Here is a 16,112-nt window from a genome sequence, read left to right on the forward strand (position 1 = left end):
ATCAAATTCCAACTGGCTCAGAAAGCAACAAAGTTCTCTACCTTCCCTGGTAGATGCTGGAGAAAATCTTAGAAAAAGTAGTGAGGACATGAACAGACACTTCTCAAAAGAAGGCATTTATGCAGCCAAAAAACACATGAAAAAATGCTCACCATCACTGGCCATCAGAGGAATGAAAATCAAAACCACAATGAGATACCATCTCACACCAGTTAGAATGGAAATCATTACAAAGTCAGGAAACAACGGGTGCTGGAGAGGATGTGGAGAAATAGGAACACTTTTACACTGTTGGTGGGACTGTAAACTAGTTCAACCATTGTGGAAGTCAGTGTGGCGATTCCTCAGGGATCTAGAACTAGAAATACCATTTGACCCAGCCATCCCATTACTGGGTATATACCCAAAGGACTATAAATCATGCTGCTATAAAGACACATGCACACGTATGTTTATTGCGGCACTATTCACAATAGCAAAGACTTGGAACCAACCCAAATGTCCAACAATGATAGACTGGATTAAGAAAATGTGGCACATATACACCATGGAATGCTATGCAGCCATAAAAAATGATGAGTTCATGTCCTTTGTAGGGACGTGGATGAAATTGGAAATCATCAATCTCAGTAAACTATCCCAAGAAAAAAAAACCAAACACCGCATATTCTCACTCATAGGTGGGAATTGAACAATGAGAACACATGGACACAGGAAGGGGAACATCACACTCTGGGGACTGTTGTGGGGTGGGGGGAGGTAGGAGGGATAGCTTTAGGAGATAATGCTAAATGACGAGTTAATGGGTGCAGCACACCAGCATGGCACATGTATACATATGTAACTAACCTGCACATTGTGCACATGTACCCTAAAACTTAAAGTATAATAATAATAAAGAAAAGAAAAGAAAAGAAAAGAAAAGAAAAGAAAAGAAAAGAAAAGAAAAGAAAAAGTAGTGAGGGAAGAGAGCGTGGGAAGATTTGCAAGCAAAGCCAAGAGTGCCCTCTTGTGGCATACAAAAAAATGATTTTTAAAAATCACTCGTTACTTGGTAGCCCTTCATTTCCCGGAGTAAACACATTAACCTTGAGAAGAGTTCCAAGTACTGCCAAGAGAGAAAGGGAAGAACCGGATGACTGTTAAATAAAAGAGAAAAAACATACACACAATTCTTTGGGCCTATAAGTCTCACTCAATTTTATTGAAAAGTTTAAGACTTTAAAAGTTACAAAGTAGTATTCGCCCTGCCTATATTAACCATTAACAAGCATTGTACTGTTAGTGCAGCTAAAGTAATTATATCAGAAAAACATATCAATTGTCATTTTGTCCACCGGACAGTATTGTAAGGAAATGATGCTGCAAGAAAAGCAGACAAATATGGACTTCCCAACATAGGGACGTGAAGCAGGTGTATTAAAAATAAGGATGCATATAAAACTAAGACACAAAATGAATCCCTGAGCTGAGTTTGCATCCGAAAACATCACGTTCACACTTCATTTGGGTGAAAATGAACAAGGACACTTCTCATGGGCAACCACGGGGCTTTGGCTTCACACAGATGTGATCAATAACGACAGTAGCGGGCTCCAAGAGTACATTAATCTCAGAAAAAATAGTGGTATAGTCTCCACAGGGATTTGCTTCTCAGATAAGTAGAACTATGGCCTGCCATGAAATTGAGAGCTCATGAATATAGATGGTTGAGTGTATCAGTCTTCAAAGCATTTAAAACATACTTTTGTTTTTGTTTTATCAGTGCAATTTGTTTTTGAAGACGCCGGAAAACTATTTCATTTAACCTGAGCAATTAAAACGTGTCAAATCACAGCTGTCACAGTTAGGTTTGATAAAATTAATTGTTAGCATCCTTATTACTGGCACAGCTGTGATATTTCTGGATTTGACTATGCACCTGCTGCAGGAAAACATGATAAAATGTCATTTAGATCTCTAACTACAAGACCGTTAGACTAGAGAGCTCTTTAAGGCAAGGACATGAAAACTGCGTACTTTTATACCTCGCTTAAGTCAGTGACAGATTTACCAATGACAACACAATTTTAAAATTCCAACACATATATTACTTTGTCCTATGAAGGGCAAAAAGTCAATATATTTTAAATTTTAAAAACAGAATGGATATAATGACCTTTTTACACATCAGTGATATTTAAAAGACTTAAAGAGACAATACTATGGTTGAGACACTGGCTTCCTATTCCAGCCCTAATTAAAGAAAAAATAGCTAGTATGTTTCTAATTGAAACTAGAGTGAACTGGGCATCTTCAAAGTTATCATTTTCTTGGATATAAAAAAACAAAAGACCTGGGAAAGAAAAACAAGTGTTTTACAGAAATGAAGCAAACACATTTTCACATGACATAATCATTGACTTGGTGGTACACAGCTCAAGTCCAGCTTTCACTGATATTTCCTCATTAGATTAATAATTTTATTATAAAGCCTCCAAGGGGCATCCAGGCCCCAAATGAAGTCAAGATGCTCCCATTCCGGAATGCTCTCATGGAACACCAAGTTGGTGATCTGAGTCAGTAAGATATTGACGTCGTAGACATCTGCAAGCCAGTCGTGACCCCCGCTCCAGACTGCAGTCGGCACAAGCATGTCCTTCACATTGTATGTGGGAGGATAACTCTACAATGAAAAGGAACCAGAGAAAGCCTCGTTGTTGTTGTTGTTTTAATTTTCAAAATCACAATAAGCGCAATCTCCATTAAACATTGTCTAGTAAGTTTGACTAACAGACTAAATTTTTAAAATCTCTTTGAGTATCTTTTCAAGTTGCCATTACCGGCACAAAAAAAGAAATCTAACCCCAAATGAGAGAATGCTAATTATAATCGCCACTAGCTGTGGAGCTGCTGCCGTAGGCTGGGCACCAAAATGAATGTTTAATCCCCGGCAAGGAAGGTGTTGTACTCCATAGGTAGTACACTCAAGGCAATAGTGGCTGGAAAGAGTTTGGGGTCATGCCCTCCTACTTCTTCCCTTTGGGTGTAAGACAAGTCACAGAAATTCTCTAAGCCTCACTGTCCTCATGTTTAAGTCAGAGATAATCACGTTTACATCACAGAGATGCTCTGGGAATTAAATTTAAAAAACAGAGCAAAGTGCCTCACACTTCAGTGCATTTAGCATGCTCAAAAATGCTAATTTTATTAGTGCAGGGAAGAGGCTTAAGCAATGTAATCTGGCCAAGGCCCCATAGCTACCAGATAACAGACATAGGACTGTCTGACTCTACAGGCTATGTTCGTGATTACTCTGAGTAATGCATAACAGTGATGATTCTTATTTAGAGCTGGGGAAAGGACAAAGAGAGGAGGCCCAGTCCACAACACCAGCTACAAAGCTTGGATTGTTCTGAATGGACTGATGGAAAACAAACACTAGTCAACTCCTGCAAACATTTCCCACAGCACCTGAGCCTGGCCAGAATCCTGATAGGCCAGGCTGGCTTTCTTGATGAGTTTTCAGGGCCCCCTTTAATGAAAAGACTAAAAACTTTACCTGGTTGTAATGAAAATAATTCTTGGCACTGCTTCCCCAGTCAAAGGCTTGAAACTTTTGGAATTTAACAGCCTAAAAAGAAGATAATTTGGAAAAGAGTTATCTGACACCAAAGTTAGAGATAACATCATAGGTTGCTGGAGCTAGCCACAACCTCGGAAATCAACTTTATACCAATATCCAGATTTACTCTTCATTTCCAAGGCATTATTTTAAATGAGATGGCATGGTTTTGTCCTGCTTTACTGAATGACTCAATTTCTCATTGTATGATTGTTAAGCAGCTACCACCTGACACAAGAAAGCAGCTATGCACATATGCTGTCAATTATACTAGATCAACAGTTGCTCCTGCTAGCGGAACTTTATGCTGACATTTTCTGCTGAAATTTGCATCCTAAGCTTTTTCAAAGAGTTAGTCATTTTACTTGGGAAATAAAGGTAGACAGATAGGTAGCTACATATATATATACATATATATATATATAATAGAGAGAGAGAGAGAGAGATGGATATATATAGATAAAATAATTATAATATACAATTGGCCCTCCATATCCAGTTTTGTATCTGTGGATTCAGCCAAGTGATATTTTGCAGATGGAAAATATTTGGAAAAAAACAATAAAAGATAATAAAACAATAAAAAATACAAATTTTAAAACAGTGTAACACCTACTTACATAGCGTTTACATTGTATTAAGCATCATAAGTAATCTAGAGATGATTTAAAGCATATGAAAGGATATGCATAGGCTATATGCAAATACTACATCATTTTATATAAGGGACTTGAGTATCTGTGAATTTTGGTTTGGGGATGATGTCTGCAGCCAGTCCCCAAAGATACTTGAGGGATGACTGTATATTTTCTATTTACCCATTCTACTTGTCTAGTTATATTAGTCAAATTTTAATGATGGTATTGATTAAACACTTTTTCTTGAGTACTGGTATCAGTATAATCACCAAGTAGTACTGCATGCCAGCACAATTCTAACTAGTTAGGGATACTAGAGCCATGAAATTGAAATTGTATTGAAATTTACATTTATTCATATTTAAAATAGTATAATATAAAATATTAGCAAAATGTCACTTATTTTTAAAATTCAAAATAGTGCAAATCCATATTTCCTCTACACTCTCAAATTAAATGTATGTCAAAAATTAAACACAAAATTGGCAAGCCAAATGAATTTGAAATGGTAAGTTTTGGCCACAAGGTGGCGCCTGGTAAAAAGAAATGCTCAGACATTCTTTGTCAAAACTGCTTTTGATTTATGTGAAGTCTGTTCTAATCAACTGCATACAATTCTACTGTTTGATGTAATAAAAGACAGAGTGAGATGATATACTATAGGGGATTGTTACAGGAGAAATATTTGGCATCTGTTTTTGCCGTTGCAAATGACTGATATTAAATACCTGTGGCATATTTAACAAGCAAAACAAAATTTGGATTCACAGCACCTGTTGGTACATCTGTTCCCCATCTTTGTCAGTGAAAATATATTGATGCAAACTATTCTGCCACTGAACACAGACAGCAGTTCATCACTTTGTCACATGTCCTTCAGCATTCATATGAAGCACCAGCGTGAGCACAGAATACAAAGGTGAAACTTGCCTATAGCTCAGACTGAAGTTCTAAATTTGACTTTGTGCTAAGTCACTTAGGACTTCAAGCTATCCACTTGAAAGGATATTTCAAAAGAAAAGTATTAAGATGATTTCCAGTAACAAAAACCTGGAAATAAGCTAAAGCCCAATTTTAATAAGTAACAATCCCTTGTAGTATATCATCTCGCTCTGTGTTTTATTACATCAAACAGTAGAATTGTATGCAGTTGATAAGAACAGACTTCACATAAACCAAAAGCAGTTTTGAAGAGAATGTCTGGGCATTTCTTTTTACCGGGCGCCACCTTGTGGCCAAAACTTACCATTTCAAATAATAGATATTTGGGTAAATATGTTACATAAATATACACAAGGGGTATGCCACTGTCATAAATATAAATAAAATACAAACAGAAAATGGCTTACAGATAATCTCATAAATAATACTAAGTGGAAAAAAATGAAACCAAATATACACTAAGGTTATACTTCTGTGATAATCATATCACAGAGTATATGTAGATAATGATCAGGAGGAAATGCCTATAGTATTAGGATAAACCGTTTTAAAATGACATTTAAAAATTATATTTAGGTCTTGAATGGTAATAAAAATGTAAACGGGTTCAACTTTTCTAAAGTACAATATGTATTAGAAGTCTTAAAGCTATGCCTACCCTCTCCCTTACTAAGTCTACTGCTATAAATGTATCATCCTAAGAAAACACTCTAACATATAAGGACAGATGATTTATGACTGCAAAACAACTATCACTGCAAAAAACAAAATGATAATAAAATTCAAGCAACAGAAACTGCCCTTTATGACAAATATTTTAAAACTTTAGTTACTGACCCGGAAAGGCATTTTTAATTATGGCAGAGACTGCCACCCATTCCCATTCTTGCCTTCTTCCTTTCAGTAACAGAATCCCTAAAGCTTTCCCTAAGTACATGGCTGCCAAGATAGAAACCACATCCTCATCCTCCTGCGAGCAGCCAGGCTATGGCCATACCGCTCACTTCTAAGCTATCTCCTTCGCACAAAGTCACTTGCCCTGAGCTCCCTCTCCCCTGCCTTCCTGTGAGTTGGAAGAGACATGGAGGTGACCGGGCTGCAACCAGGCAGAAGAGGACAACACCCCGAGGATGGCAGAGCTATAGTATGGAGGGAACTGGGTCCCTGCATGGCCTCATGGAACACAGCCAAAACCCCCTCTATCATCAGTCTGGGCCACCTCTCTCTGAACTTTATTATGAGAAAGAAATAAACTCTTTATTTAGCAGCTGTATTTTGGGGTCTCTAATACAACAGCTTAACTTGTATCTAACAAATATAATGGCATTTCTTTAAATGAAAATTTACATAAAAGCAGATGTAGTATGATCTGACTTTTGTAATGGAAATGATTATATTACAAAACTGTAAGATTATACCAAAATATTAATAGTGGCTATTGCTGGGTGCTAGACATACAAGTCATTTTTCTTTCACTCATGTATTTTCTAAAATTTCATAAAACATATTACATGTTTAACAAAAATTATACTGAATATCCTTTTTACAGTGTTCTTTAAAAGCCTACCAAAAGTATGTTTTTTCCTTTAAAGAAAAAAAAAAGAGCACATCGTAATCATCTAAGGCACTTAACTCAAACATAGATCCCAGGGTCACAGCCCTAGGAATTCAGAGTCTCCACAGGTCTCAGACAGGCCCAAGAACCAGTATTTTTAATAGCACCTTAGGTAGGTCAGAACAACACTGGAAAACTACACTGGGATGGCCTTCTTCAAACAGGTGAGAGTACCTGGGCTCTGGGCAGGGCCAGTGAGAAAGTGAGAAGTAATATCAAGTCTTGGCTCTGGGGAGCTCCGAAATTCATCAGGTTTATAAGGAGAATGGAAAGATGAGTATGCTATATTTAAAATCCCGCTAAAGAACAAGGTATGGAATTTATTAACAAGTTAATCCTAATTATTTAAACAAAAAGTAAACTTCTGAATGGACTGTAAACAAAATGGCCTTTAAGGTCAACCCCAAACTCATACCATAAGAGCCCTCTAATGCCACACCTGAATTCTAGCCCCAGCCTGCCCGGCATCCAGGCCTGCCCAGCTTCCACAGAAGCCTTTTCCTGCACTGCCTCTTGGAGCCTGCAGCCTGCACCAGTGGCAGCCCCTGGCCAACAGCCCAGAGGAGGGAAAGCCAAAGGGAAGATCCGATACAATGGCTGCACAAAGCAACCAACCATTTTACTGACAAAAGATGGTACAGCGGGTAGAAGAGCAAAGGCCCAGGCTGCCTTGTACAGCAAATCTGGGCTTTGCAAATATTCTGGAGGTATATTCCAGGGTAGTTAGAATCTAAAGTCACCAGGTCACAAATGGGGCACAGAGCAGTGCTCTGGCCCTCACCCTGCAGCCTTTGACCCTGGCAAGCTGCTGGATAAGAGGGCTGGAACAAGACCAGTAGCCTAGATGATAGCCGATCCAATGTCTCTACTGCAAACCCCATGCCCAGTGGAGGCCCAAGACACAGAAGGGTGAAGCAACACAGGTCTGTAATATAAAATAGAGTTGGCCTAGGACAGCCTTGGTTTCAACATTCCCAAGGGCCTCTGACATCCCAGGTCTGGTGGCCATTTGTACTTTGCTGAGGCCTGGCGTGTACTGTGTGTGGGCTGCTGGCAGTCACTAAGCTGGTGGGAAAGCTCAGGATCTGCCTCCAGCCAGCTCAGTCACCCTCCATCATCTCTGGGGGTGCAATAACTGATGAGGTGACAGACATTGGGCCTTTTAGGAAAATGTCCATTAGGTAAGAGGTCCTAGGCATCCTCAAAAATGTAGGGGAATTCTAGTGACAGGGTATATGAAGAAAACAAGTGACTATAAGCATAAATGTGACCAAGGAGAAAAGCAGAGACCTGAACCAAGAACGAAAATCCTCAATCTTTGTGAATTTGAGGATTTTTGAAGGTTTGGGGGCATTCCTTAAGTGGTAAGCATGTGCTGTTCAGCACGTCATGAACTATTTGCATTCCAGATGCCCCTCTTTTAGGCCACAACAAACTCTGCCCCTGAGGAACTGACATTTAACTCTCAGCCTTCTAGTTACTATAAAGGACCAGGAGCCTCAGGCCAGGCTCTTCCTAGTTCCTTAGAGACGAGCCCCAGGGAAAGGAGAACTATAGCACTGTTAGAGTTCCTGGGGCAACTGAAGAAGGAGATGAAAGTATCAGGATGTCCCGAACAGGTCTGCTCCCAAACCTGGTGGAGCAAAAGAATCTACCAGGCAGATTTTTTAAAAATGCAGATCCTCAGAAATAAAAAGGAATGAACTACTGACATACACAACATAGGAAAATTTCAAAACAAGTATTCTGAGTGGAAGAAGCCAGACAAAAACAAGTATAAACTGCATGACTGTTCTCATGCAAGCTCTAGAAAATGCAAACTAAGCTACAATGACAGGAAGCAGATCAGTGGGATTGAGGGGAGGGATGGGGGGAGGTATCACAAAGGGGCAGCAGGGACCTTTTAGGATGATGATATATTTGCTGTGTCGATTATGGTGATGGTTTCACAGGTGTATACAAACACTGAAATATATCAAATTGTATACTTTAAATATTCTATGTCACTTATACCTCAATAAAAAATTTTTTTTTAAAATAATAAAACGACTCGGGAGGCTGAGGCAGGAGAATCACATGAAGCTGGGAGGCGGAGGTTGCAGTGAGCCAAGATCGCACCACTACACTCCAGCCTGGCAACAGAGTGAGAGTCCATCTCAAAAAAATAAAATAAAACGAAAAAATAAAAGTACAGATTCTCTAGTCCAAATGATTGGGACACAGGAGTATTTGTTTTATAAGCCTGGATGGTAGCCAATCCAAGAATTCCACTATAATTCCAACTCTCATTACTTTTTTAATGCAATGATTTATTAAATAGTGTACTTTTTAAAGCAATTTGGTGATTCTGATGCAAGCAGTGACTGCCAGGTGTTTGGAAATTACTATTCAAGACACCTACAGTGTCTTGGTTTAGGGCTTAAATGGTGAGTTGTTTCATATTAAAAATGAAGTTAGCTGAAAAATAAATGGCACAAAATTATGTCCTGAGGTAGAAAGAAGTCCCTGACATATTGTCAGGTGAAAAAAGAAAAGCAAGCTGTAAAACAGTAAGCAGGAGAAAAATCAATCTATTTCTACATCTACTATTTCTATCCATGTCTTTAACAGCATCTTTTTGAAAAGAGGTATAGAATAGAATGCAGAGACATTCAATATCTATGGATATGCATTTCCTCTCTGTCTAGGGTTATAGAATGATTTTATTTTCATTTTAAGATAATTTTTTTCTAGATGTAGTTTCTAAATTTTCTAGAATGAACATGACTTATTTACATGATAAAATAATCAAAACTGTATTTCAAAAGTCAGGGGCCCCCATTCACATCTATCATTGGTTTAGCTCCAGTTTATTCACTGCTATTCCAAGCATATTGTGATCAGGGGTTAGTGTTGAAACAGCGGTTTCTATCTCCAAAACGGACTTAAAATCACTCTTTATGAAGCAACACAGAAATAAAAAAAATCTAGGACTCAATGAGAAGCAGATGGAGGGGAGGAAACAGGAGGAGGAAAAGAAAGCTGGGGGAGAAGGAAAGGGAGAGAATATATTAACCTGAGACTTGAGGAAGGGAGAGGAGGGAAAAGAAAAATGTCAACCCCAGTAGCTGTTTGTGAACCCACGTATAACACAGTGTGCCCCACCACAGGTATCAAAAGCAACACAAGCACGATGACAAAAACCCAGGACTCTGGGGAAGAAAACCAGATCAGATTTGTAAGCAGGTTGTCTTTCTATTTGGAAAGGGTTTGCATGCCCAGACCTTTCTGATGTTGATTTTACATGAACCCCAAATGCACTCCTGGAATGCCTACCTGGCTCCAGTGTAACATGTTTTGCACAGAAGTTCCAGCAGGAGAATGTGTTGTATATACATCCACTCTAGACTGCAAAATAAATACATTGAAATGAAGAATGAAAACAGCATTAAGGTGGCATTGATAATAAACATTGTATTTTGCCCTTCAAAGCACTAAAAACTAGAGCCATAATCTCAAGTATGTGAGATGAGAGGTAGAAAAAAATTATTTGACTAAAAATCTGCCCTATAAAAATACATACAACCACATACAAAGTCCATATGAAGGAGGTGCAACAACATGGTAAGCACGGGACTGTGTGGGTTTCGTTTACAGGGCATTTTCATTTTGTTCTTCATGCTTTCCTGAATTTCCCAAATTTCATATAACAATCACACCTTGCTTTAATTATCAGACAAAAGAAAAATGGCACTGAAATTCCTTAGGGCCTTTATTCCAGGATTTTAACCCTTTTTTTCAAAATGCCACATGACAAACTAACAAACATATTTAGAAACACGGGCATAGTATTGGCCAAGGGTTTATATTTTATAAAATAAAATGGGTTTACATTTTATAAAATGTACTTTTATAAATACACACACACTGCAAGCATACACTTATGTGTATGTAAATGGCCGTTCCAAATTTAAATACTTATAGTAATTTTTGAAAATTTGTGTATTTTAGATTCGGGGGGTCCATGTGCAGGTTTGTTACAAGGGTGGATTGCATGATGCTGAGATGCGGGCTTCTATTGATCCCATAACCACAGTACTCAATATTGGCTATAGTACTCAACAGGCTTCAGCCCTTGTCCCTCTCCCTCCTTCCTTTTGGAGTCCCCACTGTCTATTGTTCCCATCTTTATGTTTATACTTATAATGATTTCTAAAAGAAACAAATCACTAGAGTAATTATAAATATTACAGCTTAATTTGTGACAGATCTCCTCATTCAATAATCTCCATCTAGGTACAACATAAGAAGGTGACCACAGTCAGCCTGAGGATGGCAGCAGGTGGTACCGTATTCTAGGCATTGGCCAAAGTTCATGCTTGTGCCTCTCAAATGAAAGACTCTTTAGAGTTCTGATGAGGTCATTCCCACCTCTCCCATATCATTCAACACAAATAAGCACATTCACAGATAAAAAAAAAAATCAAATCTTACTATAAACATGCATACCATATTTAAATTTCTCTCATTAAATCCACACAGAAGAAAACAGAGATTTCCACAGAGCTCCTTCAGTATGACATGAGTGCAAACGTGGGTACCCAGCCACTTCAAAAACGCACTCTGGGGAAGAAATTCTTTGTCTCCAAATAAGTCCTACAAAATAAAAAGAAACCCAAGAACATCTCAGCATTTCACTCTGGTGCATAAGTCTCCGTGACTCACCTCAGAAGCAGAGACAAGTACCCAATGTCTCCACGAATGGCCTCAGGAGAGAATGGCAACCAGTGGACATCAAATCAGGATGCTTTTGCACAAGTTTACCAAAGCAAAAATCACACACTACAGAGGTGTATTTAAATTCTCCAAATGAAGAGAAGGAGGCAGAAAATCAAATAAGTTTTCAGCGGACTTCTACAGTGGGAAAGGGCCTTAATGATCACCCCTCCCAGGGCCATCCCCAAGTAATTTTCATCTGACTCTGATGGATCGGTGGTTACTTCTAAGAAACAGTCAAGGCTGTGATTGATCAGTAATGTCTGCCAGAGGTGTGCCCATCTAATTCAATGCTACTGGCCAGCAGGCCAAATCCAGCCCATCGCTTGCTTTTTTATTTTGTTTTTTAAAATTTTTTTTATTGGCCAGGCATGGTAGCTCATGCCTGTAATCCCAGCACTTTGAGAGGCCAAGGCAGAAGGACTGCCTAAGCCTAGGAGATTCCATCTTTCCTATTTAAGTCTTCTAAATGGCCCATGAGAGACGTTATACCTCATTTCATGTATATATTTCTATACAGGATTTCATATGTGTGTGTGTGAACATATATTTCATAAAAGACATATAATGCATGCATAATAGAACATCTGGTCTTACCTAGCTTAAAACTCTTTTTCATGAAATCTATTTCCTCCCTGAACAGAGGTTCGGGTGCCACAGCTTTAGGGCAGAGCCCTGATGAAGCTACTGGCTGTGTTTAGGAGCCATATTATAAAATACAATAATGATAGCGTTGTTAGGTCACCCTCAGTGTAGCTAGGGATGGGCTTTTGGGAACATTTCCTATCTCCCATCTCCTACATCCTCTGTGCACAGGCTCACCTCATGGGATAAAGGGCAACTCCACAAATGCTTAAATTATTTTCTCCCAGACTCTCCTTGCTCTCCCTGTGAGGTGGGCAGAGCTGTACTGACACATGCTAACCATGAGTACACGTGGCACCAGTGTGCAGGAAACGACAGGCGTCCCCGGCCACCCCTGGGTCTGGAAGGAGGGGTAAACGGAAAAAGAAAAGCCCACTGCTCCACTGATATCAAAACGCAGGGGAGGAAGGCACAGATTATCCCTCCCCTTGCCATTTCTTCAGATCTCAGGAGGAAATCTGCGGGGAGAGGAGAGGGATGGGAGGGGTCCAAGTACCTTAATGAGATGATCTGGTAATCGTCCTAATTTGGCCATAGGGCTAGTACAGAAGGCGACGGAAGCCACAGGACCCAGGGCAAAAAACATTTTAATCCTTTTAGCCAGCTCAGGGATCTGTGAAAATGCTATAAAACCTGTGAGAACAAAGGACAGAAAACAGGAATTCCATCATCTGGGATTTCCTTCTCAGAAAACACAAAGGCCGTCACTCGCGACGCCCTCTCGCGGAGGCCTGAGACCCACGCAAACAATACCACCAGCAGGAGCCAAAACACTTGACATGGGGCACTCTGAACTTCCGTGTGCCCTAACACTGAATTTGGTTAAACTAGTAAATCAAGCATTTGTTAATGCTTGCTCCAAATCTCAACCTAGATAAGCACTGGAAGAAATCCAGTCTGGGAGAATCAGAAAATCTTCCCAGTTCCTTTTACAATGTAAATAACAGACTATTTCCAAGAGCCTCACCCCATCACCTTTATCTCCCCCATGCCCCTCCCCCAAAGAACAATTTACAGACACCACGTTGAAATAAACCACCAATGATTTCAAAGGAACTCACACATTTAGAATCCCCTAGCTTTAAAATATATTTTAACCCTTGATATGGTTTGGGTGTGTTCCCACCCAAATCTCATCTTTAATTGTAGTTCCCATAATTCCCATGTGTTGTGGGAGGGACCTGGTGGGAGATAATTGAATCACGGAGGCGGTTCCCCCCATACTGTTCTTGTGGTAGTGAGTAAGTCTCTTGAGATTTGATGGTTTTATAAGGGGAAACTCCCTCACTTGGCTCTCACTCTCTCTTGTCTGCCACCATGTAAGATGTTCCTTGCTCTTCCGTCATTATTGTAAGGCCTCCCTAGCTCACAATCCATTAAACTGTGAGTCCATTAAACCTCTTTTTCTTTATAAATTGCCCAGTCTCGGGTATGTCTTTAGTAGTGGCATGAAAACGAATTAATACAACCCTCTCTGACGTCTTGCCACCTGGCCCCAGAATGTCACTTTAGGAAGCAGTGGGGCAAAGGTCCCAAGCAGGCAAGTCATGAAAGAAGAAATATAAATAAAGAAAAATGCCTAACTCCATTTTTTTCCTGGCAATATAACCACATGTTTTGAGACCCTTCAAAACATTCATACCTTTCATATAGTAAGGCTCCTTCTAGGAATATATTGTAAGGAAAGCATGTGATGGGAACACTAAGGTGTTAGTCATAGTAAACATTAAAAGGGAGAATTAAATAAATTATAGGACAGGTTCCTAGTCCCTAATTACAAAAACTCTTGCTGACTAGAATTATGGGCAATTTTTATTTTCTTTAATTTTGCTAAATCTTCTGTTCTTCTGTTTTTCTACAGTGAACATGCATTACTTATATAATCAGCATAAATTAAAATGCATATAACTTTTCAAAATTTTTTGTAAACCAAATGTACCTGTAGTTAGTTATATTCCACTTAACTTCAGAAGGCAGTATATTTTCTTGTTTTCTTTATGTAAGTCTCTGAACTTAGAAACTACTTGTTTTCTACTCTCTCACATCCCTATCTTGCTTCATCTAGGAAAACATGTAATATATTGTGGCTTACATTAATTTCTTCAATTTCAACCATATACATGAATTTTCATAGAAGACTAAATGTTACCAACATTCCTTATCTTATTCATTATTTCTGTTTGGCATTTAAAAATAAATGGAATTTGAACTAACATCTTTTTATATTTCACTTTTAAGAAAAGTACAAACTCTGTAATGAAGAATTTATATCAACTTCTGATCTTATTTACATACATACCTATAGTGGTGCCTTGAGAATGACCCACATAATACACTTGTTCTTGGCCAGTTTTATTCAGAATGAAGTTAATGGAAGCTGGTAGGTCATATTTTGCCATCTCATCATAACTGTAATCCAAGAAAGGAACTCTTTCATTGAAATAGTACATAAAATAGAGCACACACATACTGAGTATGCAGTTTGATGAGTTATCACAAACTAAACACAGCTGGGAAAACCAGCAGTGAGTCCAGGAAACAACACCAGCAGGACTGCAGAAGCCCCCTTGGGCTCTCTTCCAGTTGTGTCTCCCAAAAGTAACTATTGTCCTCATTTTTCACACCAGAAATTAGTTTCGCCTGTTTTTAAATATTTCTGTAAGTAGAATTATACAATGTGTATTCTCCTGTATCTGGCTTAATCCATTTTTTGCTGCATATAATTGTAAGTTGTTCATTCTTATTCTACTATATAAATATACAACACTTTATCCATTCACTGCTGACATGCATTTGGGTAGTTTCCTGTTTTCCGTTGTTACAAATAGCGTGACAATAAACCAATTCTTGTATATGCCTTTTGTTAAAAGCTCTCATTCTTGTGTTTCATGTCCTTAGAGGTGCCTCTGGTTTTAAAAATGGGAAGCAAGCCCGGAGGCTGCTATAGTGCTGCTGACTTTCTCTAATACCTGGTACCAAAACATAGACCAAAACCCAAGTGTGCGTATGGGTATATGCATGCGCATGTTGCCACTGGCAGGAGAAGAGCCAACCCCTAGCCAGTTCATACAAGGTGCCAGGTTCTGTGGAGGTTCCTTCTCTGCACCCTCTCCTTTAAGCCCCCAGTGACCTTATGAGGTAGGTGTTTATTACGCTCCATTTTACAAATAAGGAAACCGAGACACAGGAGGCTTATGTAAGATGTCCAATGTCATACAGCAATTAACTGGTGGAGCCAGAAGGAAGAGGGAGGAAAGGATAATTTCTGGAAAGAAGAAAAGTGAACATCTGGATTACATATTTATGGAGAAAGGAGGAAAGTTATGGAATAACGTTTACCCAGCAGCACCCACACCACCAGAAATGCCGAAGTAACTTAAGAATTCCTAACTAAATGTAAATCTTAATGTAATCATTTACTTATAATTTACCTTACTGCTAGTCATTAAATTCCTAGCAACATTTAAAACCTTTCAAAAGACACTAACTTCCCCTCTCATACAACTTCAGAGTTACCACCTATCTACCTCTTCTGCTGGAAGCCTGTTGTCTGCTTTAAGAGTACTAAGGAAATACATCCATGCCATTATCAATTCATATATACCTGAAAGCCCAGAATTCATCCTGAGAAACTGAGAGTGTCTTATGTTTCCGAGACCAGGTATTTCCTCTGCTGTTGCCCATCCACACGTCAAAACCAGCATCAGCAAGAATGAAGCCCAGGCTGCTGTTGGCAAGGTTTGTGACCCAGTTACTAGAATCTGCCAGCAAGCCATGTTGCAGGAAGACAACTGGTTTGGGACCTGAAAAACATTCATTGTTTAGGAGGCAGTAGCACCAAGCTTCAAAACAAATATGATATCTTGCTAAATAGAACATTCGTAAAAGATCCATAAGCAAATAATGAACTAGA

The 16,112-nt window shown here is 39.0% G+C and overlaps 1 protein-coding gene across 25 annotated transcripts in view; it reads right to left on the reverse strand.

The window, feature by feature from the left end:
* LIPA (lipase A, lysosomal acid type) overlaps positions 1,176-16,112 on the reverse strand; it is a 201,108-nt gene continuing 186,171 nt past the window's right edge. For 24 of the 25 annotated variants that reach the window (NM_001440839.1, NM_001440819.1, NM_001440821.1 and 21 more), the window contains 7 exons: positions 15,804-16,002; positions 14,499-14,608; positions 12,696-12,832; positions 11,288-11,434; positions 10,115-10,186; positions 3,542-3,613; positions 1,176-2,665 (listed from right to left, as the gene is read on the reverse strand). In NM_001440839.1, coding sequence (NP_001427768.1) covers positions 2,432-2,665; positions 3,542-3,613; positions 10,115-10,186; positions 11,288-11,434; positions 12,696-12,832; positions 14,499-14,608; positions 15,804-16,002 — 971 coding nt within the window. In that variant the 3' untranslated portion in view covers positions 1,176-2,431. Of the gene's footprint in view, positions 2,666-3,541; positions 3,614-10,114; positions 10,187-11,287; positions 11,435-12,695; positions 12,833-14,498; positions 14,630-15,803; positions 16,003-16,112 lie in introns of all 25 variants that reach the window. The other variant, NM_001440837.1, reaches the window with a different exon arrangement.

This window comes from Homo sapiens, chromosome 10, assembly GCF_000001405.40.
Source record: "Homo sapiens chromosome 10, GRCh38.p14 Primary Assembly".
Taxonomy (NCBI): Eukaryota; Metazoa; Chordata; class Mammalia; order Primates; family Hominidae; genus Homo; species Homo sapiens.